The 27,274-nt window shown below is 41.9% G+C and overlaps 1 protein-coding gene across 11 annotated transcripts in view, besides 2 other annotated features; it reads left to right on the top strand.

The window, feature by feature from the left end:
• The window catches only part of SEMA5A (semaphorin 5A), a 511,043-nt gene that overhangs the window by 331,065 nt on the left and 152,704 nt on the right, over positions 1 to 27,274 (top strand). For all 11 annotated transcript variants that reach the window (XM_011514158.3, NM_003966.3, XM_011514157.3 and 8 more), the window contains 3 exons: positions 12,771 to 13,056; positions 17,708 to 17,843; positions 24,540 to 24,744. In XM_011514158.3, coding sequence (XP_011512460.1) covers positions 12,771 to 13,056; positions 17,708 to 17,843; positions 24,540 to 24,744 — 627 coding nt within the window. The remainder of the gene's footprint in view (positions 1 to 12,770; positions 13,057 to 17,707; positions 17,844 to 24,539; positions 24,745 to 27,274) is intronic.
• Positions 17,274 to 17,774: an enhancer, noted in NCBI's record as "H3K4me1 hESC enhancer chr5:9197349-9197849 (GRCh37/hg19 assembly coordinates)". NCBI's record gives its function as "activates a minimal SCP1, AML or CMV promoter by ChIP-STARR-seq in primed H9 embryonic stem cells {active_cell/tissue: H9 hESC(primed)}" and the evidence as "EXISTENCE:reporter gene assay evidence [ECO:0000049][PMID:30033119]".
• Positions 17,775 to 18,275: an enhancer, noted in NCBI's record as "H3K4me1 hESC enhancer chr5:9196848-9197348 (GRCh37/hg19 assembly coordinates)". NCBI's record gives its function as "activates a minimal SCP1, AML or CMV promoter by ChIP-STARR-seq in primed H9 embryonic stem cells {active_cell/tissue: H9 hESC(primed)}" and the evidence as "EXISTENCE:reporter gene assay evidence [ECO:0000049][PMID:30033119]".

Raw genomic sequence — 27,274 nt, 5'->3', positions numbered from 1 at the left:
ACTGTGCATCGCTCCCTGCCCCTATGTCTCTGGGGAAGGGGCGCTTCTCTCCTCCGCAAGTCTCAAGAATGCAAGATCCAGCAAGTCAAGATTCATTATTGAGTTGAACAATGCTAAAACTCTTGAGCATTGCTGATGCTTGAGTTAGCAGTGAGCTCGATCTTGTGTTGCTTATTCTATATCTGAATTACTATCTCAAAAGACTACAGGGAAGGATGGCAGAAATGAGTGCTCTCATAGTCTAGCCTAAGAGGAGCACAGAGGCACAAAGCATGCATCATCAGAATGTGTGGGCAGAGCATGACATGCTGTGGCCTTTTGCAACCCCAGGACCCAGAGTTTCAGAACTAATCTTCAGGCAAATGATGATACTGGCTTTTCCATGGTGACATCTGGCCGGGATACAGAGATCCCTGAGTAAGGACCTACCAGAATTCTAACCTTCCCACCACATCTTGCAGAAACCCATCATAAATATCTGGTATGGTTCTAAAAACCTGCCTTTAGCAAGCTAAGTCTCTTGGATTTTATACTGCAGTTCCAGGTGCAATTTCTTATGACACCAACAGCATTATTGGTTATATACTGATGAATACACACTCCCTTCCCCCTGATCCTCTGCACCTCTGCAGGGGCTCTAGATGGTGGGAGGTGCTGTCAGCTGTCAGCACAAGCTGGATTGGAGAGGGCCAGCAGGCCTGGCCCGAGCTCTGGAAGCCTTTGTGGGTTCTGCCTGTTTCTTCTTGCCTGGCCGCTATGATCTGGCTCTGCCTGTTTTTACAGCCCTGGCTCCTGCTATTTTTCCCGCATGCATGCTTGGTGTCCTTTAAGGAGCAATGTGCAGTTTCGGGGGCGCATTCTGCCTTCCTCACCATGTTGCTTTGCAGTTTGTGATTATTTTGTCCTCACTTTGCTTGATTTTGCCTCCTGGCTAATTCTGGCTCCTAGTTAGTTTAGTTTAAATTTCCATTTTCCCCAGTCTCTGGTGGGTCTGTTCCATCCCTTTCTCACACTGTTCAAGTTGCACTTTCCCCCATACTACTGGAGCTCTTGGTCAGTCTCTTGCCCCAACCTTACGAGAGCCCCCATTTTACTTGCAGAGAAAGCCAGAGTGCTGCCATGGCCCTCCTGTTCCCTTCCTGTCCTCATCTATGTGCTCCCTTGGCTTTAGCCTCTGAAATGCCACACAGTGCCTCTGGTTCTTCCTTGCCTTTCAGAGCTCAGCAAACTTTTCTATAAAGGGCCAGTGAATAAATATTTTAGGCTTTGCAGTCCACATGGCCACTGTTGCATTTTTTCAATCTTTCCATCATAGTATGAAAATCTCCACAGTCTATGGATGCATGAGTGTGACTGGGTGCTAATAAAACTTTATTCACAAAATGGGCAGCAGGTAGGATTTGGCCCATGGGCTAGAGTTTGCTGGGCGCTGTTCTGCCTGGAAAGCTCTTCCCCCAGACAACCCATCTGGCCAACTGTCCCATCTTTTTTGAGTCTTTGCTCAAATGCCATCTTCTTAATGGAACCCAAGCCTCACCACCTTATTTCAGATCACAGCTCCCTCCTATCTAGCCCTTTTGACTCTTCTTACCATGTTCAGTTTTAGCCTCAGCTATTAATGTTATTTCCTCCCACCACTACAATGAAAGTTCCCAATGACCAGGACTTAACGTCTTTTTCTCACTCCTGGGTCCCACATGCTTACAGCAGTGCTGGCATTAAAGTAAGCACTCAACGGACATTTTTTCTAATTAATGAGTTAAATGGTGCTATGGTCTGAACATTTATGTCCTCCCAAAAGTCGTAGGTTAAAATTGAACCTTCAATGTAATGGTATTACGAGGTGAGGCATTTGAGAGCTGATTAGGTCATAAAGGTGGAGTCCCTCATGAATGGGATTCGTGCCCGAGTAAACAAGACCCCGGAGAGCTCCCTCATTCCTCCCACCTTGTGAGGACACAGTGAGAAGGTGCCGGCTAGGAACCAGAAAGCAAACCCTTGCCAGACACCACATCTACTGGTGCCTGGATCATAGACTTCCCAGCCTCCAGACTGTGAGAAAGAAATGTTGGTTGTTTATAAGCTGCCGAGTTTATGGTATTTTTTGTTACAGCAGCTGGAATAGATGAAGACAATGGGTAGATAGTTGACTTCTTTGTTTTCCCCACTATTTTATGAATTCCTTAAGGGCAGGGGCTCTGTGGAAGCCTGCTTTATGTGCTCAGCATCTTACTCAGTGTCTGAAACATAGATGAGGATTAATCCATATTTGTTGAATGAGTAAGACATTAGCACACTTCACAAATAGCAGAAATGTGAATAATGTTAAACATGGGAGAATGTTCTATTAATTATATATCAGAATTAAACAGCAACAAAAACACAGATATGCATATTTGAAATTGAACCTGGTCCAAAAATTTATAACATCTTCCCTTTGAGCCCTCATCTCACTTAGCCCCCCATTTCCAGCCATTATTTATTGTCATTTCTCAAAGGCAGTACAATCAATTGGATGACATTCTGGATGAATCTGGAACATTAAGTTATGTGTTTGGTAATGAATATATTTCAAAGTCATATTTTCTCCTGTGCCAAAGTCGCTCTTAAAACAAACTTATGTGTTTAGAGAAATACCTTAACAGCTTTAATGCATTAAAATATTAATCGTTAATAACTTTGAAATGATTACTGTAAGGCAGGATAATAAATGTTTAATGGTTGATGCTTAAAATAGAAAAGCAATAAAACTTGCCTTCAAGAAACTGGCAATCAAGTTGGGGAACAATAAACCCATGAAAAGGTGAAAATACATTTCCAAATTAATATTGTGCAAATTGAGTTTGTGAGTTTTGAAGGAATTATGTGCTTGCACACAGAGGAAAAACTTGAGTAGGAACTTGGAAAAACTAACTCCTAAATGAGGCTTAATAACTCAGCATGAACATCTAATCCACGTAGCCTTATTAACACTCAGAGACCAGCTGGCTTTCCTTCTCTGGTGGAAATGTGTACTTATCCCACTGAGTTCTCCCAGGGAACTCCACAGTGTCCTGCAGTCTCTGAGATTTTGGCCAGGATTTCATATGGAGGTGAACTCACTTGAAATCCACAAGCATTGTCTTTTCAACTGTATCATTTTTTATGAGCTATTATAATTCTAGTTGAGAAAACTCTTCTGGTAACAATGTTAAATTCTGTTTGTTTGAAATACATTGATGATGTTACTCAAGCATTAAGTAGACCCTTGAGGTCTTTAAAATGCAACTATGAACCTTCTAATGATTAATGATAATTTACTTGGAGGATGAAAATCTCCTCCGTGCTTAAGTCAAGGAGAAATTCTTTCTGCTTGTCCTGAAGAGAGGTGCTTTGGGGAGCTCAGTGCTTCTCCTTGGGACCAGGTGCTGACTCTGAACAGCCTGAGCACAGCTAGGGTGGCGTGACTTTGTTGGGCTCCAACCTGGGGACAGTGAGAGCCTGTTTGGAAGGGTATGCACAGCACAGTACCTGGAGGTGTGACTGGTCTGCAAGAGGTGCTCTCTCGACTGACAAGATTCGCTACAGCTGGAAATTCAGAAATGGAAGCAGAGGTCAGAGAACAAGCAAAACAAAGACAAATGAGGATTGGGAATGAAGTATATGTGGGTACCAAAATGCAAGTATTTGTCAAGAAAAAGAAGCTCTGTAAAGCCAGAATAGAATCAAGACTGCATAGTCAGCAGCCTATTTTTTTTTTCCAAATAAGCACCTGGGGAGATGCTTAAAAAGAATGACCTTGTGAACAATAAGTTCTTTTCAGCATTACAAGTCCAAGGCTGATATCTTATTCAAGTTTAAACTTGCTAGGGTGAAGATGAGATGACATGGATGGAAAGTGTGTTGAGCAAAGTTGTGTGACATGTGACACAGCACAATGAGATGCCCTTTTCTAATATTCAGGCCTGATCAAGCCTGTCAGCAGCCATTGCCAGTTGCCTATGCCTTGTGGGATGGCTGCAGTTCAGATATCGTGCTGTAAATCTAATCTTATTATCTTTGAGGGTCAGGAATCATTTTAAATCAATGGCCTCCATGCATATCGCCTGCCTGTCCATGTACTTATTGGAGTATCTGTTACTTGTAGTTATTACACCACCCGCAAGGAAGAGTCGCAGTAGCTATTTACAATATGCTAGGTAGATGGAAGACTCCAAATCCATGTCATCTGCCATCCTTCTTACAACCTCTTAAGGGAGATTGCATTATCCTTCTTCTACAGATGAGCACTATGGGGCTCAGAGGGACTTGCCCCCTGACACAGGCCATACCTGATGCATACCTGAGCTAGCGCTTGAAAACAGATCCACTCCAGAGCTTGCACCCTTCCTCCTTTACAAGCTGCTGACCTTCCCTTTGTTTAGTTGGCACTTTAGGAAATACCAGCGTTACAAATGGCCTCCATCTCTCTCTCCCGATGCCCACATTTTCATGCATGAGCTGCCATGAAGAGGGGTATGTGGACTCTGGAAAAGGTTGAGAGCATTTTCTTGACTGTTGTAGCCTTGCATACATGGTGCAATAAACTGGGGCTGTTAAACCCAAAGTAGAAAAGCCTGTGTGGTAATTTAATGCAGACCTTTATGGGTACAAAAGTGTGGTTAAGTGACATGAGTCAGTTCTTACGGTGCTCTGAAAACACTGTATTGCTCCATCCTGTACATCGAGCACAGAGGGCTTAAAAGCTGGGGAGCCACAGGTCCTCTCCAGTCATGTGAGGAAGCTTCTACACTTGCCAATATACTTGCCAAAGGTCTTTTACTACCTTTAGATTTTAATTTGTGCATTCCAAAAGAAAAGGGATGAGTAAATCTTTCTTTCTCCTGCTACCACATTATGGGGATACTTGCATGAACTGTATATACATGAGTCAAGGAAACCTCATAAAGAATAAATCCACTACAAGAAGGGATGCCTCACTGTAGTGAAGATATCATGCAGACGTGTACTAGAACTGCTAAAACAATTGGGAAATGGCTCAATGTTCATTGTCTAGAGATTCTAGCAGTTTCCTAGTGACAGTCTTGAATCCCTCTTGATGTCCTTGCCTGATGACTAATGTTACCTCCTTTCCTTCTTAAAAGCATCCCAGTTTAGAGCATAAATCATGTTGTCATCTTGTTTCTAAAATGCCCAGATTTATGTGTTTCTATAAATTTGTCTCTATATTATTCTATTGAACTTTTTATTTATCCCAGTCAAGGGCCTCTGACATTTGTTCACTCACTGCCACATATTGGGAAGTCGGCTCCCTGTGTCTTGGTCTTCTTTTTGCCCCAGCTCAGATCAACTCAGGAGACAAAGCCAGAGCCATCATGCACGTTTCCTTATTCTACAGTAGCTTATTGGGAAGAAGTATGATAACAACTGAATAATGTTGGAGCTCAATGTCTTCTTTCAGTAAAATCTTACATGGTTTTCTTTCAGTCTTTTAACATATTTTTTAGGAGTTAAAATATTTACCAGATTTTAAAATTTAAATTAACATTCCAATAAAAACCTTGTATTAATTTGATCTGGCAGATTAAATGATTAATTCTTCAAAGAAGTGAACCTGTAAATTTAAAATATCATCAGAGAAAAATGAACATGGCGAATAGAAATTTTGTGTTTTGACAATTTTCAGAAATATTCATGAAATGATATATAACTAATAGGAGTGTGTGATTTGGCAGAATTTTATAAGAGAGGGCTATGTGCTTGGAATGGAATAAGAGCAGAGTAGACACTAAAGTCTGTCACTTTGAACTAGAACATTTAGACACATATCCAGTTAATAAAACTCCTATTGACCTAAAGATATGGAGAATTGTAGGTGTGAGTTTTGGACTTGTAGGGCGGTGTGAAGAAGTGGTGCTTCTCATTTAGGGGAAGCCAGCCCATTTCCCCTTGGTAAAAGTGGTTCCTACTTGAATCAGCAAATTCATGAAAGTAGTGTATTTTCAATGGGTCATATTCCCCAGGAAGAAGGAAGGAATCAAATGTGCTAGAACTGTCTTTCCACTCCTACTGCAAGGGTCTTAGCAATAACTTTTTTCTGTCAAGGGGCTCAATGAGTGACACACCTGAGGATGCAAGGCCCTGATTGCTGTGAAAATAGTTACCAAGGATGCACTTGGCTCCAACTTCCTACCCCATCCCACACCACACACCCAGGAAACGGAGTGATAAGTTTTTCTTTAAAACTCTTTGGTGTCTCTCCAATGGCAGTTGAAATCCATACTCCTTGTTATGGGCTCCTGGCTTTGCCTGGCTTTCCACCTCCCGTCCTGTTGATCTCTTTGATCCTGACTGTGGCTTCATTCCATTCCTTGCCAGCCTTATGGTCTTCTCCCAGGCTGCTCCTTCTGGCAGGGATGTTCTCTTCCCCCATCCTTGTCTGGGTGGCCCCTTCTCAGCCTCACCTCTGCCCTTTCCCTATTCTCTCCTTTCTGATCCTCTGTTTCTCCCAGCTGCCCTGGCCCTCCATACCCTTGTCCTCACTGTAAGCACTTGTTGATCTGTCTTGTTTGTCTCCTCACACTGCTCTTGAGGGCACGGGCTGTGTCTATCAGTTTACTAAGGAGCACCCAGTGCCCAGGACAGCCCCTTGAGGCAGTGAGGAAATGCCTAGAGCAGTACTCTGGCCGGCTCCAGGCTCGTCTGTAGCATGGTCCCTGCCACTGTGTTTGGTTTCAGGCTTGATGGAATAAGTGTAGATCTTAATTTGATATACGGAATGCATACTCAATGAGTTATCTTATTAATTACTGATACTATTTACTCACATCTGTGTTTATATTAATTTTTGGAGTTATTTTTAATAAATAGAGGTCTGTATTTTGATGATTACCAGCAAAGTGCGTTTGATTCTCACAATGATACTGTATGTTGGATGTTGTTGTTATTCAAAAACAGGAAACAGAGAAAATATACTGGTAAATAATGTGAGTAAATTCACACAGCCAGTAGGTGGAAGTATTGAGCCATGTATACATATATCTCTATACTCATGTATGTGATACACACATATACACAGACACAAATGTGCGCATCCATCTATTAAAATCTATCTATTATCTATCTATCTATGTATCTATCTATCTATCTATCTATCTATCTATCTATCTATCTATCTATCATCATCTGTCTTTTAGTAGAAACCTCAGGAAAAGAACTTTAGCCTACCAGTAGCTTTTAACCTATGTTTAATTTAATTTAATTTTAAGTTATCCGCTTTTAATTTTAATGAATATCTAGATAAAAATAGATTTGCCCTGGAAGCTTCTACAGCAGTTTTATCTACATAAACTGTGACAATGGAAACAATGTACCCAATACAGAGAGGGTCTAAAATCAGGGAATGCTTATGGAAGGCATTTTGTACTGACTGATACCAACAATTTAGGAACAGAAAACTGCTGGCTGTGTGTCACATCTGAATATTGTTTCCGTTAACTCATCTTATTTTTGTGAAATAGCTTGCTATTTAAAAACTCAGCATGGTAGACCAGGGGCAGTGGCTCATGCCTATAATCCCAGCACTTTGGGAGGCTGAAGTGGGCGGATCACCTGAGGTTGGGAGTTCAAGACCAGTCTAACCAACATGGAGAAACCCCATCTCTATTAAAAATACAAAATTAGCCGGGTGTGGTGGTGCACACCTGGAATCCCAGCTACTTGGAAGGCTGAGGCAGGAGAATCTCTTGAACCTGGGAGGCGGAGGTTGCAGTGAGCTGAGATCGCACCATTGCACTCCAGCCTGGGCAACAAGAGAGAAACTCTGTCTCAAAACACAAACAAACAAAACTCAGTATGACTTATTTATGCTCCTAAAATTCTAATGACCTTTAAGCTTTATATATATATATATATATATATATATATATACACTTGATCATTCATTATCATTATGTGAAGTTCTGTTCAACAGAAATTATTCCAAGGGACATTGAGAGTAAATAAATGGTGGCTACTATTTTGCAGTCAAAAGCCACCTTGTGCGACACTTGCCAAAGTCAGGCTGGAAAATGCCTGTACACGATGCCAAAATAATAATAGCCACCATTTATTGGCATCCTGCTATGTATCAGCCCATTTAATTTTCACAGCTTTGCAAACTAGGTCTGATTGTCAGATGCAACAACAGAAAATATCAGATGTCAATGGTCCAACCAGGGCAGAGTCACAGGCATCGTGTACAGGCATTTTCCAGCCTGACTTTGGCAAGTGTCTCACAAGGCGACTTTTGACTGCAAAATAATTTATAATTGACTTTGATTCTAGTAAGATTTTTGTAGAGTTGGGATTCCTTTGTGCCTTTAATATTCATTCCCATTGTGTACAAATATTTTTATATCAAGAACCTATTAAAGATCTGCTCAATGATCAGATCGAGCCATTTGAATATGGTGTACCCCCATATTGATGCTTTAGGCATTGGAATAGAAAGAATATAGAATGGGAGGCTTCTTTTGGATTCTCAGTATTTGGTTTTGCGTGGTCGAAATCTCAAAATTTTTGATGTTTTTCTTCGCATCACTTGTAATTACATATATGGTGAGTCACTTCTCGGTAGTCCTATCTGTATGGTCACTATTATGTAAGTAAATATGCAAAATAAAAGTTCTTATATCATGAAGAAGAATTCTTATTAACATGATATATTTTGTACAACACGGTAATACATAACTCAGTATGTTTTACAAACATTAGAAAAAACAGTTTCTCCATGCATATGTTTACACAGCAGCTGACGTGCCTGTTTTTACTGTGATTTAGTTAGCAACATACCTCAGATCTCTCTTTCATGCACTCCTATCCATTGTAGACAAGAAGAAAATACCTGATTTTCCTTCTGACTTGTTCAATTCACTCAGGAGTGACAGATACTAGTTTGTGGTGGATTGCATTTTGAGAAAAGACAGAACTTAAATAATGGAAGGAAAACAAAATTCATCTTATCATCCTGCCTGGCAAGACTCTAACATCCCCTACTTCCAAATTTATATCAATAAATATAAGAGCTATTTGACTGTCTGTCTTACAATTATTCCCACTTTTTCATTGTCTTTGAAAAAGGAACAGGATGCTAGCCGAATTTCAAGAGGCTCTACTTTTCAAGAAACTGTGTTTCCCGAGTTAATGGCAGGTCACACAGTCAGGGGTCCACCCTCATCCTGAAGGATCAGTGTAGGGCCGCATGATGTGTTTCCAAATGCAGTCTCACTCCCTGACCAACATGACCTGCACTGTGTGGTGAATTAGAGAACAGCACTCACTACACACTGAATACAAATTATTTTGTTGTTTTTGCAAACCAAAAGGAAAACATGTATTTGAGCATTTCTATCTAAAATGGACGTTGTGATCTTATAACATTGGTTCAGGGTGGTTTGGAGATATGGTAGAGGCTCTCTGTGGAAAGAGGAAACTGTGGGTCAGTCTACCTGCCATTGCTCAGTCTTCTCCTTGTCTGCAAAAGTGGATGTGGTTTGCTGGAACAGACACAGGGTACAGAATGACCTCGTGAAAGTCATTTATTGGCTCTCTGAGGCTATGGTTGGCCCTCCTTGAAACACCCTCTGGAGTTGGGTCAAACACTTTCCAACAATGTTCTTGTTTAATAAGTCCTTAAAGTTGTTTCTTCTTCCACTTTTTCTTCTTTCTGTGTCATTCCTGACTTCCATGATAACTGTGGTTTAAAGTTTCATCTCATCATTTATTGTCTCTCTGGTTGGTTCTGAAACCCCCCTTAGACTGTTCCTCAGTAAACCTGCTTACCAGTCTCCATGGAAAGATGACTGTCCAGCCAAGAGCTTACCATTGTTTTTCTAAAGCAGAAAATCAAATCCTGTTGAATATTGCTAGCTTTTGATTGTTTTCTTTTTGCAAGCACTATTTATTTTTTTCAGTATAGTGTAATGCAGTGGTCCCTAAACTTTTTGGGACTAAGAACCAGTTTCATGGAAGATAAGTCTTCCATAAACTGGGGGTGGCAGGGAGGATAGAGGGGATGGTTTAGGGATGAAACTGTTCTGCCTCAGATCATCAGGCATTAGATTCTCATAAGATGTGTACAACTTAGATCCCTCACATGCACAGTTCACAGTAGGGTTCCTGCTCCTATGAGAATTTAATGCTGCCACTGATCTGACGGGAGGCGGAGCTCAGGAGGTAACATTCATTTGCCTGCTGCTCACCTCCTGCTGTGTGGCCTGACTCCTAACAGGCCATGGACTGGTACTGGTCCATGTCCTGGGGGTTGGTGACCCCCGGTCTAATGGATTCAGGACTTTCCATCCCCATCCCCCACTGCTAGTTATGTGAATTTGGACAAGTTATTAAATCTCTGGGCTTTAGTGTCCTCATCTGTGAAATGGGAAGAATAGCACAGCACCTAGCTCTGTGATTCTTGTGAGTTCAATGGGGATATAAAGCACCAAGCACAGATCTTGGCACAAGACTTAGCATTCTACAGATATTAGCTGTTTTTATTATAAACTCATCCTTCAGCTGGAAACCATAAAAGATCTTTCTTCCTTTGTATCTTCTCGTTTTTCAGCTCAGGACTTTTGAGAAACTGGAGCTATTTACTATGTGGTTTTCATGCCATTTGTCCCCAAGTTAATAGCAGAAGTGGGTAATAGTGAGTGTATTTGATAAGTTTTGGTGGACCTCCTGCATGTGTGCTGGTAACCTAAGTCCCGGGCTAGACACACTTGGACCCTTACGCCTTCTCTCTTTGTTTTCCACATTTTAGGAAGGGTTGCTTGTTGCTGTTTTTGTTGTTGTTGTTTGTTTTTAGTACAATTCCCAAACTCTAGTTTTGTTTAGCCAGGGTGCAGGACCCATTCCAAAATAATTTAGACTCTTATTTAGAATTAGACATGCCAGTATTATTTTCTTTACACATGGTTTTGAAATTGTTCCGTATCTTTGCTTTTGGGGCCTGCTTCATCAGGTAATTCTGTTTTGGAGACTTACAGTAAACACAGACTTAACACCCCCCCACCCACCACCCAGTATTTTCTTTATTTTCCAAAAACACAAGTTACAGATATGTAATCTGCTGTTTTTGTGAACATCTCTCCAGGATATTAAAGCATACTATCACAGTAAAGATATCTAACCTCCATCTTTTACAATGTTATGCAATTCAAGTTTTTTTTTAAACAGTCATTTAGGGTGAAAGCAATAGTGACTTAAGAATATGTTGGACGGTTTATAAATTAAAATCACCTCAGTATATTACTTGATATACTTCAATGACTTAACAACGTATTGTACTGAAGGGAAAAGTATCATACATAAACCATTTAGAGTATTTATTACATTTTTAAAATGTAAAGTTGGATTAAATTAAAACATTTTGTGAAAATATCGAATATAGGTATTGATTGAAAATTGGCAATAGTCTTCCTGGACAGAATAACAGAGTAGTCAATCCCAACCCTTTGTCAATGTCTGAAGTCAACTTCTGCACTTCAGACCTTAGGTGATTCCATTTATGTGTCTTACTCTTAACATTAATGGCTTATCTTGCAGCCACACATATTTTTAGTTGTCCTGCCAGTAACATGTTATTATTGCAGTGCAATTGTATCTGGAAAGGTACAAGGCCAATTGAATTGCCCCAACAAACTAATTGTCCCTGAAAATGTGTCTTTGTGAATATACTTGTTGTCTGTATCTTTCCATTAATTTTGGACACCAAAGGTTACTGCTATAATTATCCTAATTTGCACCAGAAAATTAAGATACTTGCTGATTGAATGAATAGCATTTAGAAATAGCGAAGAATAAAACCTTGTGATTAGAGTTTTAAAAGCAAATATTACGGAGTATGTGTATCTCAAAATGTACTATCTCTATTATCACTGGTTTCAAACCGGAAGTTAGGAAGCTAAAACTTCAAATGCTGTATGTAAAATTCAGTTGATAATGTATATTTCCTAAATTCCTGAAGATCTTGGTGATTAAGTAAAGGCTTTGCCATAATTTTGCCATTTCTTTGTTTCCCCATTTTAAAACTAATTATGAGACCAGAAAACTACAAAGCAATGTCTCCATCCCCATACTCTTCCCTCCTCTAAATGGTTTACCCAGCAAACCAGAAATAAGAAAATCAGAGTTGTTTTTCACTATTCCATGGTCACCATAGCAACAGAAATTGCTACAGCTAATTCCAGACACACCTTATAGTTTTAGTCTTTATTTTCATTCCCAACAATGAAAACATTTTTAACGTCCTTAGTAAAAGCACATACATTATGTCGAAGTCACAGGAATGTATATAAGTCAAATAATTTTGTTGTCTTGCACACAAATAGGATTGTAGACTGCTATATTCTGAACCACATTTCATCTTTTTAATCATATTTTCTCCCTCTCTGAAGGTTATGTAAGAATTTGCAAATAAAGTAATACATATTGCTCTAAAATGTACTGCAAATATTTGCTGCCAATTTTTGTTGGTATTAACGTCCCATTAACTTGAGCCCTAATTTAGCTCGGGATACTTGAGTGTGTAATCATACCAGTGACTTCCCATTATTTAGAATCTGTGTATGACACTGAGTTTCCCAACAGTGTAGATCATTAAGCTGCTCACGGGGCCTCCCAATAGTCCTATAGGAACCAGGTGTTATCTAAACAAAACCACGTCTCTTTGGATGAAATACTGAGCAGGCAAGACCAAAAGGGAATGACATGAATGTTGAGATTTTTTCCCTCTTTTCTATTGTTTCCAGAGCCAAACTTTGTGTCATCTTATGACATCGGAAATTTTACCTACTTCTTTTTCCGAGAAAATGCAGTAGAGCATGACTGTGGGAAAACAGTGTTCTCCAGAGCTGCCCGGGTGTGCAAGAACGATATTGGTGGGCGCTTCCTGCTGGAAGACACCTGGACCACATTCATGAAGGCTCGCCTGAACTGCTCCCGTCCTGGGGAAGTCCCCTTTTACTACAACGAATTGCAGAGTACTTTCTTCCTGCCTGAGCTGGATTTGATCTATGGCATCTTTACCACCAATGTGTATGTAACTTGAAATAATTTTTCTCCCCTCTCTCTTACTCATTCTGAATAAGTCTTCTGTTCTTTGACCTCTGAGGTTTTAAATTTACTTTAGAGAAAATCTTTCTTAATTTACTGGGCTAACAGACAAAAAAAGAGGACTTTTCAGTAGACTACATGTTAGATAAAGATATGTGATTTGTGAGACTGGTATTAGGAAAAATACGCCAAATCAAGAAAGTTTTTGTCAATCTTTAGGATATAGTGACATTAAATTATTCTATTATAAATTGCTCCTTCCTGATTTGCCATTGTGTTCTGGGCACTTTTTGAAATACTGATACATATTATATGTATATTTTTTCTATATGCAAGTCATGCATTTGTGTATAATGAAAATAGTGTTGCCTGGAGAATCTGAAATCTTTGAGATAACATGGCTCTTGCTTAAACCTTGCTCATATTTGAAATGCACATTTTCCATAGCTGCATTTTACACTATTATTCTAGAAGATTGCTTACTTGAGCACACATTTTGTAAATGTCAATTATACTTTTGAAATATTTTTGTAAAAATTATAGTATTTTTTGTCTGGGGGTGGGACAGGGAGATACTCCTAACTTTAGAATGAACAATATTTCGGCTGTCTTAAGCTTATGAAGTTTTCTGATCTCTTTCACTCTTAATCTAGTGGAGTATCACATGTCTCCAGAGTTATTTCCTATCCTTAGCTGGTATGCTGTGTAAGACTCAGGAGGAGCACGTGCCAAACCCAGGAATCAAGGCTCACATTGAGACTCTGAGCATCACTTTCCTACACACTGGCTGTGCTGCTGCTGATCCTACACTATGGGTTCTGATTTGGATCACCTTTGAAATCTCTTGTCTTGTGACTTAAGACTTTAAGCAAAAGCTGAATATTTGTATGCAAAGTAAAGGATCAAAATCTGGATGGGTTGGAAGTGCTGATAAATGAGGTAGGATGACCAACAGTCCTGAATTGCCTGAGATTATCCCAGTTTTAGCATTGATGACAGCCCTGTAACTAAGGAAACCTCTTTTTCCTGGGTGAACCAGGACAACTGGTCACCCTATGATGTCCTTTCTGCTTCCTAAGTATTTTAATTTACTTTTTCATCTCTTGGGCATCAGATGCCTGCCCATGAGTGGTATTTCTAAAAAGTCCCTTTACCTGCAGCTTATTTCCTCATTAACCTTCTCTTCCTGGTCTCTCCACTGCTTAACTTGTGTTAGTATTTGCTTAATAACAACTTTTACCCCCCATGAAGAGTCTTCTTTCTGACATGAGGTTAGAAAAATAAGGCTAGTATGGATGGCTCCACACATATCCTTGCTCCACCGTGGCCATCTTTATTTTCATAAATCTGGTCTTCAACCCAGAGATTATTTCTTCTCTTTGATAAGTTACTTTAAAAAATCAATTTACAGTTTCTGAAGTTGATTTTCTTTCCAAAACCTTGTTTAAAAACTAGTGTAGTCACACCCAAGATAAATGTGCATTTGCTCAGTTGACATCAGTTTTATGCACAAGGAGAGTCTGGTTTACTTAGCTCTTCATTCCCCTGGCTCTGGGCAAAACAAAACAAAACACCAATTTCAGAAGTTATAAAAGTACCATGCCTGGAATATTGCAAGATGGTGTATGGTCAATTTAGATAGTTGCAAAAATAAGTTTCAGACTACTCTAGACTATTTGTTTAGTGTTGCAAATTCCCATCATGTCAGAAGTCACCCAATGTACGGAATCTATACTTTTAGAGATAGAAGTGCTACATCTCCCCTTTCTCCCTGGAATACTAATTTGTGTTGGGTCTTGAGAATGCATTTCTAATATGCCCAACTCAAATTTCACAATATTTTCCACCTCCTTTTCATGTCTCAGACAAGGTTTTTTTCAAACGGAAAGAAAAGGAGGATCAGAGGTCTTATGAATCAGAAAGCTGTCCGATACTGGGCTGAGCTTCAGGGCTCAGAATGTTGCTTTGCCTCTGTACATTCGTCAAGGTTTCTCAGCACTAGGGGAATGGGGAAAAGATAACCATTCCGACTCCTTCTGTTCCTAGCACGACTGTGTAGTTTTCTCAGTCACTTGAGCATGGGTTGGCCTGCAGAAAATGGTGTGCTACTACAATGGAGTCTCTAAAGATTTGGCTTTATTTCTAGGTATCTAAAAATGGTGGCTTACCATTGTAGTTGTTTATAGTGTAGATAGTAAACTGTAGAGATTGTAGTAAAGTATTACTATGTATAGATATGGATATAAAGATAGTAAAGTTGCGGTGGGGGGTAGGATTTTTTTATTGCTCTTGTAAGTTATTACCTTGATTGCTGATAGAAGCCAGATTGGAACAGGTGGCTGCAGGTCTGTTGTCCAAGTGAGCTTGTTCATACTGATTCCAGCTTTAAGCCTTCTCATTCTCAAGGTCATGTTCTAGACCTGGGCTGCCCTCGCCTGCCCACAGGTCTGGAGACCCTGAAGAAGCGAGTGAATATGTACTTCCTGTAGACAATCCCATCCTAGGAAGAGCGGGGAGGGCAGAGGGAGGAGCACAGTGGAGTCACACAGGCCCGTCCTTTGCCCCCAGAGCACAGCAAGTGAAAGGGTAGAGGGGCAGGCATGGGCTATACTATACCAATTGTGCTCCCCAGGGGATGGCACAGGGGACAGGAAGAAGTGTTCCCACAACACTATTAAAGGATGCTCAGACTGGCAGCTACTGGGACATCCAGGGGAGTCTCTGGGTGACACCAGAGCCCAGGTCAGCCCATTCAGTCCTGGTGGTTGTAGTGAACAGAGAAACATTATGCCAGCAGGAAGAAGATTAGGTTCTTCCTTTACCTGGAAGCTGCCTGGAAACCTGGGGCCCCATGCAAAGCAGGTACAAATCCTGCTTTATTTCTCTGCAGCCTGTGACTTGGGCTGCGTAAACTCTCTGTGCTACTGTTTTCTTACCTGTAAGTCAGGGTCTTCTCAGGATCTGTAGGTTCTCAGTGAGAAATTAGATGATCTGTATCAAGTGCTTAGCAGGGGGCTCAGGGAAATATTGTTATTATTCGTAATATCCCCCATTTGCCTGCCTCTGCACCTGGCCCAAGGCATGCCTGGATGGGATATCCTGTGTCTAGCCATTCTTACTCCAGCACACTTATTTTCTTGTCCTTATTAAAGTCCACTCACATGTTCAAAGGCCAGTTTCTTCCCTGTACTTGTGTTTTAACTTCTCCCATTCTCTCTAAGGATAATGAAGAGTCAAAAGAGCAAAGTGAACAAACCCATAGCTGGTGTTCGCCCCTTTATTTTCCAGCGCCAGGCCCTGTATGCATCATGCTGAGCCTTGTCCTTGGTGCTGGACTTCTGGAGAAAATGCAGAAGGCCCACAATACCCTCAAGGCCCTACTTTTCCATAAGGATGTGTTTACTGTCTGCTCTCCTGAAGTAGAATCCTGTCTACTTCACCCACAGATATTGCAAAGGATTGGAAATCCTGGCATTTGGAGCCATACTGGGGAAAATCCGGGCATTTGGAGCCAGCCTTAGGTTCAAGTCCAGCTTCCCCATTTAGTAGCTGGCTGACATTGGGGAAGGGTCTTGTCCTCGTTGTGCCTGGTTTTCCTTACCTGTGAATTTCCTTCACCTTATGAGGATTAAATGAATGGGAATTAGTAAAGTCCTTGGAATAGAGCCTAGTTCCTATTCAGTATTTATCAAATCAAAGAAATATAAGGTAGGTATTTCAGTTTTGGAGTTTGACCTTTCCTTTGATGCAGGAAAAGAAAATTGATGAGAAATGCTTGTGGTATTGTCTCAGAGCAAGAGAAAATATATGTAAGCTTTCTTGTTTTATCTCCACTTCCCCTTTGAGAACCCGGACTGAGCTCAAAATGCAAATTTACTTAACCAAATAATGTTGCTGTTTCCATACTTAGTCAGAGGGCACTGACCTTCTGAGGGCTCCCATTTATGACTTTCTCTCAGAGCCTGAATTCTAAATTATGGCTTCAGGATTTCATATGTCAGTGCTATGTCAAATTTTTCTCTTTGACCCTTTGAATTTAAAATCTACTTTACATTAAAAGAAAATATGAAGAGTCAGACAGTCACTTTTTATAAAATACTTTGAGTTGATTTTTTTAAAGGATGACAAATAAAACAAATATCTGGGTTAAAACACACACACACACACACACACACACACACACACACACACACACACACACACACACAAACAGCTTTCCCTGCTGCTGGGCAAAGTGACCAGATAAACAGGTCAGGAAGGGAACTGCATGAGGCTGATGAGAGACGCCATCCGTTGGAGAAGGAAGTCTTTTTATTCCAGAATTTGAAAGGTGAAGCAGATAGCTAGCTCTTCAAATTCCCTCTTGCCCCTGTTGCAACTGAGTGAATTAATCCTGGCTGACAGGATTACAAGGTGTTAAATGCTAACTAGCCTGGTTTCTGTACCAAGATGTTTGTTCCTCCACAGGGGAGCCCCATTCACGCTCTGACTTCATCCTTTTGGGATCTTTAAGAGACTGTGGTCTTGAGACCTCTGGAAGCTGTAGGTCACAGCTGCTGCCCAGTCCATAGGGGGAGGTCAGCAGGTGCTGCCGAGCTCTCTGACTGCCTTCTCTCTCTCCCTCCGCTCCCAGGAACAGCATTGCGGCCTCAGCTGTGTGCGTCTTCAACCTGAGCGCCATCGCGCAGGCCTTCTCTGGGCCCTTCAAGTACCAAGAAAACTCGCGCTCGGCCTGGCTACCGTATCCCAACCCAAACCCCCACTTCCAGGTAATTTTCGGGGGGCAAAGGGGCACTGTTGGCATCCCCCATGAAGAATGCAGAAGCCTTGTGTAGACAGGCAAGGGTAATTTAAACCGCGGGTGCATGCACCATGCAGCTGTCTCCCTGGCCCCTCATGGACAGCCCCATACTCTGCTGGCTAATGTCAATAGACCAAGGCCTTTTGTGAACTGTGGCGCCTGGACCCAGAAAGGGCCTTTTGTCAGCTGTGATGCCTGAGACTGGGCGGAAAAAGGCCAGCATTCTGCAGCAGGTTAGGAATCCAGGCTTCAATTAGTACTAATGATGCTGGGCTCTGTGTCCTCAGAATCTCTGATCCCTAATGAATGACATTCTAATGAATGGGGTCCAGGGCACAGAGCAGCAGAGACACACAAACAGGATTAGAGCGCTAATTGGCAAATGTGGTGGGATTCCCTGTTGGGAAGGACAGAATGTGATGCAGGCAGCTGAGGAAAGAAGAGGAGGTGGAGGCCCTTCATCTGTTATCACAAAACTGCAGGAGGTTCAAGCTTCCAGGGCTTTGTGAGTCATCCATCTCCCAGTGTTCAGAAGAAGCTGGGACCCAAAGAGATGAAGCAATTTACTCATGTTTGGTGAGTTGGCAGGTGTATTAGTCAGTTTGGACTACCGTAAGAAAACACCACCGACTGGGTAGCTTAAAAAAGAGGCATTTATTTTCTTACAGTTTTAGAAGCTAGACCTTCAAGACAAAAGCGTGAGCAGGGCCATTTTCAGGTGAGGGCTCTCTCTTCCTGGCTTGCAGGTGGACATCTTGCTGCATTTTCACATGGTGGAGAGACACCTTTGGGGTATCTCTTCCTGTTTTGTAAGGGCACCAGCTCCACTGGACCAGGGCCCCACCCTTATGACCTCACTTACCCTCATTTACTACCATTAAGACCCCATCTCCATATACAGCCACACTGGAGGGTAGGAATTTGGGTGGCTTACAGACATTGGGTCCATAGCAGCAGGCTTCCCTGGAGGGCCTTCTGACAGCTTTCTTAAGATCATCATCATCATTATCACAGCTGTCATTTTTAGCACCAGCAAGTCCCAGACCCTGTGCTAGATGCTTCAGATAGATCAGCTTGCACACTGGTGGCAGTGCTATGGTGGGTAATGCCTTCTCCATGTGCAGGGAAAGACAGTGGGCCTGGGGCAGATCACCTGGCCAGGGCCACACAGCTGATAAGTAGCCAAGTGAGGATTCCAACCTCGGTCCTCAGATGCAAAATCCTAGCCTATTCCAACTAAATGGCCATTAGTTACTATTATTAATCAGTGGTAGAAGTGGGTCCTGTATCTGGGACTCCCAAAACTGGGAGTATGGAAAGGTTCAGTGATTTTATACTTTACTTTGATTTTTGCAAGGACCATTCAATTATGATTGTTTTGAAAGAGTTTTGTGTTTGTTGTTGTCTTTAAGCTTTTGAAGGAGCATGAGATTAAAAATAAGATGGCTGGCTTACATGTCATCTTTCCATGTGCTGCTTTCCTTGAGCAAATTATGTGCATTTTTATCACACATCTATCTATTATGCATCTTTATTGCATATTTCCATCAACAAAGGGGGAAAGGGATAAAAATGCATGCAAATAGTTTAGGAGTAAATTTTGATAACACTGAATAATGTGCATTGTTTACTGTATAAAATATTTGATAAATATAACTCTTAAGGGCTGGACCCAGAGGCTCATGCCTATAATCACAGTGCTTTGTGAGGCCAAGGCAGGAGGATCTCCTGAGGCCAGGATTTCGAGACAAGCCTGGGTAACAGAGTGAGACCCTGTCTCTACAAAAATAATAATAAAAAAAATTAGCCAGGCACGGTGTCATGCATCTATAGTCCTAGCTATTTGGGAGTCTGAGATGGAGGACTGCTTGAGCCCAGGAGTTCAATCAGTGAGCTATAATCCATCCACTGCACTCCAGTCTGGGTGACAGAGCAAGACCCTGTCTCTAAAAATCAAAAAAGAATCATTTATTTGGTGCCTTCTACATATCAAATGTTGTGTAAATGCATATTTCGTCTCATTTTCTCCTCTTGAATACAGGAAATACTCCTTTTAAGAAAGTCCTTTGTATAATAAAATCCTGAAGGTTAAATAATTAATAATGCTTACTGTATTTTCCATACAGTGATGTTTTTATTGCAGAAGGCCTTACTGTGAACAGCGTGGCTTAGTAAACTTCATAGCCCCTTACCACCTCCAGGCAGTGGATAACTTGTAGCCCGTTCATCAGGATACCTTTGCAGCACACAGCAAATCTCATTTCCTAAGGCCAGGAGCGACTGGTTTTATAATGCCAGTGTCACACTGAATGGCTTACTCTCATTATGGGATGGAAGCCAGTCCATGTAGCATAATGAATGAAGCATGCAGAAATTGGCATGCGTTTCAGGCAGGAAGCTTGCATTCCTGAGCTGTTCTTCTCTGAGTATTATTTAAGACTCCAATGGAGCTCAAGTTACAGATTATGGTGATTCTTTGTATAACTCCTAGTACAAGTACACAGCAAGTGTTTTCTTTATGTTTACTCTATTTGATAACCACACTGGCAAAGTATCCTCACAGACATTCATGAAACCATCCAGACTGGCATAGAGTGGGAATTCAATTTGAACTAACGATCCCTCCCCAGACATGTATAAGAGGCCTTATGTTTGCAATAACCAACAATGGAAAGTGGTTAGATTTTTTAAATTCTTGTTTTTCCTACTGACATTTAGGATTTTGTGCAGTACTTACATACTAGAAGTAGCTAATTAATCAGAGAAGCAGAAAGCAGAATTGGATTCAGGAAGAAGAATGGGTTAGGAGAGATGGTGCATGATATTTCAACATTTAATATAGAAATCTCAAAACAGTAACAAAGCAACAAAAAGTATCATTTTTTTCGGACAAAATATATAAACCACTCTAGGCGGTGCTTCAGAGCCCTGCCCTGTTAGAGGCTGCAGTCCTCAAAGTCATCCAGACCCTGACCCTCAGTAAGACACGCGGCAATCACTGATATAAAACATCACCGAGGCCCAGTGGCACAGCTGAGCTGTGACAGACTCCAGAATTTTCTGTGCAGCTTTGATTACTGTCACTCTGAAAGGATGGAGTTGAAATGGACGAATAGACCCTCAAATGTAGTTAAGTGGATGAGGAGGCAGTTGTTGGAGGAGCAAGTGCGTAGATCTGATCCTGTCCATCAGGACCCTTTGATATGCAAAGCAGATTTGTTTTGTTTTGTTTTGTTTTTGAGACAGAGTCTTGCTCTGTTGCCCAGGCTGGTGTACAGTGGTACGATCTCAGCTCACTGGAACCTCTACCTCCTGGGTTCAAGCAATTGTCTGCCTCAGCCTCCCAAGTATCTGGGATTACAGGTGCCCACCACCACGCCAGGCATTTTTTTGTATTTTTAGTACAGACGAGGTTTCACCATCTTGACCAGGCTGGTGTTGAACTCCTGACCTCGTGATCCACTTGTCTCGGCCTCTCAAAGTGCTAGGATTACAGATGTGAGCCACCGCCCCCGGCCTGCCAAGCATGTTTGCAGCAAGATGCAAGGGAGTAAGTGAACAAAGGGACCATTAAAATTGGGCACTCCTGCAGGAGGTTAGGTGATTGTGGGCTTGACCACCATGCACTAGTGTGCTGGAACAAGAATGGATTTGTTGTCCTAGAAACAAGTAAATAAACAAAAGTGCAAATATTTATTATCATTTAAAAAAATTGTAGAATTACTGACTGAATTACTTGAAGAGATGTTGGCATGAAAACTGTTGTGGATTGTAGGGCACATGAGAGCAATGGCTGTGCTTTTACTATTTTTATTGTTTTCTTCTTGCATGGTGAACCCAGGGAGTCACACAGTGCCCCACACGGACACAGCGGGAGTCCAGCATAAAAGGCAAAGCTAGAAAATTTTCAGGTATTAGAGAGCTAAGTGGGTTGCTTATGATCCAATACATAGATTCTATAACTCTGAATACTCTTCCAACTATTTGAAATAGAAGCACTGGGTGGAATATTATAGCCAGCAAAATAAACCAAGAAGTAGTAGAGTATACCTCAAAACCAATTCTTGGCAATTCTGGCAGTCATAAATAAGATTGATACAGGCGATATATAAATAAAGATGACAAGGCGTAGCGAGTGATCCTGCCTCACCCCTGCCACCGAGAACTCCCTGTTAGGTGTCCAATTTTTCTGGGTTCCTTAAGAACAGCAAGAGATTCTTATTTGTATATTATGCCATCCGGTTTTCAAGATACCAATTTTTTTTTAAACACTATGCTTACAAAACAAGACCTGTGTGCAAACTTCACCCAGCAGGTAGGCAGCTAACTGCCGCCGTGACTTGGGTATCACCACTGATTTCAGGAATGTAAACCACCACACGTAACATCATGCTCAGAACTAGAACCTTTCTGCGTAGACATTAGATCAAGCCTAGTAGAGCTCTTTTTCATTTTTTAAAACATGTGTTGACAGGTAAGGACTTGTCTCTGACCTCCAAATGTTACTATTTAATACTGTAATTATATAAACTTTCCTAGCACATCCCCTCCCCCCCCCAATTACAACTACTTGTGTATTCACTCATTGTTTCCTTCCCTTCTTTGTTTATTCACTCATTTCCCTCTGGCCACTGAAGCTCAACAGACCATAGAATTGCTGTCCTGCTCCAAGACCAATGCATTTACCATTCACCATTAGTTGAATGGCTTCTCTTTAGTGCCAGGCACATTGTCTTGTTCTTTGGCATTTATAAGGACTTCCAGTTAATTTACAAATGCTTTCCACGGATTATCTCAGCTGGTCTCACAGTAGCCCTGAGAAATGAGCAGGGTAACTATTTTCCTAGCCACCGGACAGGTAAAGAGACAGAGACTGAGAGGCGAGACCTCACCTCAGACCATGTGGCAGGACAGCTGCCACTCACCTGATTCCATGTGGCTTGAGAGCCACGGAGCCAGAGTAGCACTTGGGTCATGGCAGGGCTGAGCCCTTCACCTAAACTCACACATGGGTCATGGCAGGGCTGAGCCCTTCACCTAAACTCACACATGGGTCATGGCAGGGCTGAGCCCTTCACCTAAACTCACACATGGGTCATGGCAGGGCTGAGCCCTTCACCTAAACTCACACATGGGTCATGGCAGGGCTGAGCCCTTCACCTAAACTCACACATGGGTCATGGCAGGGCTGAGCCCTTCACCTAAACTCACACATGGGTCATGGCAGGGCTGAGCCCTTCACCTAAACTCACACTTGGGTCATGGCAGGGCTGAGCCCTTCACCTAAACTCACACTTGGGTCATGGCAGGGCTGAGCCCTTCACCTAAACTCACACAGTCCTTGCCTGTGGAACTTGGGGTGCCCCTGCAAGGGTGTGATAGTAAATTAAGCCTTGGACTGGATGCATGAAATCCGTTTAACTCTCAGATTCTCTTTTTCTACAATCATCCCATCATTTTATGGCTTATGGAGCATTTTATCAAATGCTATACAAATATCTCATCTACTTTTCAAAAAGCAATTTCCATCTTATACGTTTGCACCTCTCACCTGTTATAAAACCACATATTAGACATGACATGTTATAAAGGGTAGTTTCAGGTGGTATGGGCCTGGAAATTCTTTTCCATCAAACCTACTTATGTGAAGTTCTACTGGGGATCAGTCACCATTTGTACCAGGAATTAAAGTTTATGAAAGACATGAGAAGGATTGGTAGTAGTTTCTGATTCTGAGCTTGGCTCTAAGAAAGCAGTGCTTTCCTTTCTATCCCTCTTTTTACCTCATCCTTGCCAGAAACAGTCTTATATAACATCTGCCAGCCTCCCCACAACACAGCTCTGAATTTATTTCCCAGCATTGTACAGGGCTGAATTTCCCCTTGCATATCCCAGGTTCATCTCCATGATATTTGCTCTATCTGAAATCTCTTTCCTTCCTTCTTCCTTCTTTATTCCTTTCTACTCTCTTCTCCCCACTCCTCTCCTTTCCTTCCCCATTTCCCTTACCTCCTCATCTCCTGTTCTTCTTATAAATTTGCCATGTTCTTTTCCATATTCCTGGACTCTAAACATTTTTTAATAATTTCTTCTAATTGGAAATACAAGTAGAAAACAGTAAGGCCAGCACAGTATTTTTGTAGCCCATGTGAATGCTGTTCGATCTTACAGATGAGAATGACCTAATGCTATCAGCTTGAAATCCATGCCTTGCTTACAGACCCCCTGCTGCAGTAGAAAAACTAATACATCTATATGAGATCCTTGATTGTTGCATTTTCAATTTGCTACCTAATTTGTCAGGCAGATATAATAGTATGTGTTTAACCAGACAGCTTTCAAGTAACTCGACGGGAAAGGAGGAGTTTCTATGCATCTGCTGTTTAAAGTTAGCAATCACTCCCACTTTAATTTTTTTTTAACTTCTGATCAGTTCATTTATGATGATGTTGGGAGACTCCCAAGATATGAGTTCAAATCTAACATGAAAAGGATGCTAAGGATAGGGGCTGCAGGGAGGATGGAGAAGCAGACATGTTTGCATACTTCAATGATGGATTGTGGCTTACTTGATTTCCAAGTTACTTTCCAGCTAGGGTGGCCACAGCCAGCTGTGGGTGTCCAGGCTGCCGGCTCTGGTAACCTGGCCCGTCTTCCCTTTCAGTGTGGCACCGTGGACCAGGGCCTGTACGTGAACCTGACCGAGAGAAATCTGCAGGATGCTCAGAAGTTCATTCTGATGCATGAGGTGGTACAGCCAGTGACCACAGTGCCCTCCTTCATGGAGGACAATAGCCGCTTTTCCCACGTGGCAGTCGACGTGGTGCAGGGCAGAGAAGCGCTCGTCCACATCATCTATTTGGCCACAGGTAGGAGCTCTGGCCCCCTCTGAGGGGTTTTCTACCATCTTCTGATTTTGTGTTTTAGATTTAGATTCTAAACATTCAATTTCAATTTCAAGCTTTACGCCTGATGTCTCTTTTTGCAACCAGCAAAACCCGCGATGCTCACTTATCTTCCTCAGCCTCTGTCCCTCTTTTTGGAAATCTCAATCTATTTTCACTATATTGGTCATAACTTTAATTGGAAAGACAATGGCTTGTTTCTTTGCTATTATTCCTCAACTATTCATAAAATAAGTCTTTTCTTGGCAAGACCATTTGAATTTGGATAATTTAAGACAAAGGTATGCTTTGTTGGAAGATGTTGTTGGGTGAAATATTATCTTGGGATTGTCATGGTTATTTCTCATTTGTTCAAAAACAGTGCCTTCAGCAAAATATTTGCGTGGATGGTGGTACATGGCAGTGTTCAAAGAATATGTTTTGGGGCATAAATAATGGAACATTTACAGCAAATGTAGGCAGTGATACTTTCAAATTACAAATGACAATTAGGTCTCTTCAGTTTCCAAAGCAACTAGAGTGTAGAAAGCATGTTCCATCTCAGTTCATTACACAGACGGCTCTGGGTGTGTGAGGCCAGCTGTAGGGACCTGGCTGAGCTCTGTGGGCTTGTCCTTCTCTTTCCTGCCTTCAGATTCCCATACAGAGCCATCTCATGGTGGAGTCTGCCCCTCCCCATTCTTTGTCCAGTGTTCTGTATAATTGTCATTTCTCATGGATCACGATTACTGTTTTTGTTGCTGATAATAATATACATTTTTTTTCTTCTAAGAACCTCTCAATTCCTAGTTACATATTTACCACATATTTACCAGTTAGTTTTTTTTTTTTTTTTCATGAAGTTGCTACTATCTACTGAATCTTTACTATTTGTGGAGTTCATTTGAAACACTGGGAAGGAAACTGGTGAACACATAGGCATCACCTGCCCTGCTGGACCTTACGTTCTAGTGGGGACAGCAGATAATAAACAGAGCAGTCAGTAAGATGCCAGGAAGGTGACGGTGAGCAGACACAGCAGATGCGCAGAGACAGCCCAGCAAGCTCCTGCATTTGCTAGTTAGCATTGATCTCCGCCAGGAGGTGATGATGAAGCTAAGCAGGGACTGAGAAGGCAGGGCCAGCCCTGCACCCATAAGGGAAACAACCAATGAGCCAGATGTGGGACTGGCCAGTGGCAGGCAGTGCCACTGAGTGGTCAGGTAAGGTAAGGACAGATGTGACCACTGAGTGGGCAGATGGAGGCCACAGCTGCTCCTCAGGGCCAGTCTGTGGGAAGAGGAGGAACTGGAGAGGAGGAAGAGCACTGGCCGAAGTCAGATGGAACCAGCTGCTTAGGGCATCTCCTCTAGAAGCTTTTCAGGGAAGGGAAATGGAGGATTGATGAGTTATCTGGAGGGGATGGGAGGTCAAGGAAAGGATTTTGTTGATTTTTGTTTGTGTTAAGAGAAAGGAAGGATTGTTTCTCTTTATTCTGTCATGTATTTCCTTAATTTTCCCCAGGGTACCCGGCACGGAATAGGTTTGTGGGATGAATGAACTGGACCCTTCCATAAGAGTTCCTAGTTTTTCACCATAAATGTCCAGGCTGATGACACGGAGAATAGGGCCATCTTCTTCCAATTCTAGGAGGCAGTTGAGGACTTCCTTAGTACCTTGGGAGTGGGAGGGATTTTGATGGGGGTTGAGGCTATTCTTGAGTAGACCTGAATGGGTCAGTGAAGAGCAGCCTGAGGTCTCAACCTGAGCCTTTGGACGTACTCCCCACGTAAGTCCAAGTAGGTCATGTTTGCTTCTCTTGTGTTTATAATGAACTGTAGTGAACTTCTGAGGATTTCTGATGAAACTCCTCTATTTTTACTTTGATGAGTGTCTTAGTCAGTTGCTACAACAAATTACCATAGACTGGGTGGCTTAAACAACGGAAATTTATTTCTCATGGTTCTGAAGGTTAGAAGTCTAAGATCATGGTGGCTGATGACTCATTTCCTGGTGACGGCCCTGTTACAGGTTTGCAGATGGCTGCCTGCTAGTTGTGTCCTCACAGAATGAAGAGAGATCTTCTCTCCTATGTCTCTTCTTATAAGGACACTCATACCGTTCCTAAGGGCTCCAATCCTAATGACCTAATCACCTCCCTAAAGCCCCGTCTCCTAATTACATTTCATGGGGGATTAGGGCTTCAACATATGAATCCTGGGGGGACACAAACATTCAGTCCATAGCTACAAGCAACTTCTTTTACCATTGTTTAAAACCACTATTTAAAAGTTTCTAGAAACTTGCTTGCACATGTCTGTTTTGAATGATAGCATGATTGGACTGCTGCTCCCAACACCCTCACCCCCACACCGTGTTGAGAGTAGCTCAGGACTCAGCTGCCGCAGGGATTCCAGACCATCTGATCCTGTCTGATGTGCAGATCTGATTCCGATATTGATATACTATGTGCCATTTGGCAAATGCATTTCGCAGAGATTCGCTTTATTGTTCC

Source organism: Homo sapiens, chromosome 5 (assembly GCF_000001405.40).
Source record: "Homo sapiens chromosome 5, GRCh38.p14 Primary Assembly".
In the NCBI taxonomy this organism is placed as follows: domain Eukaryota; kingdom Metazoa; phylum Chordata; class Mammalia; order Primates; family Hominidae; genus Homo; species Homo sapiens.
The sequence above is the reverse complement of the archived record's forward strand: the minus strand, read 5'-3'. Positions and strand labels throughout refer to the sequence as shown.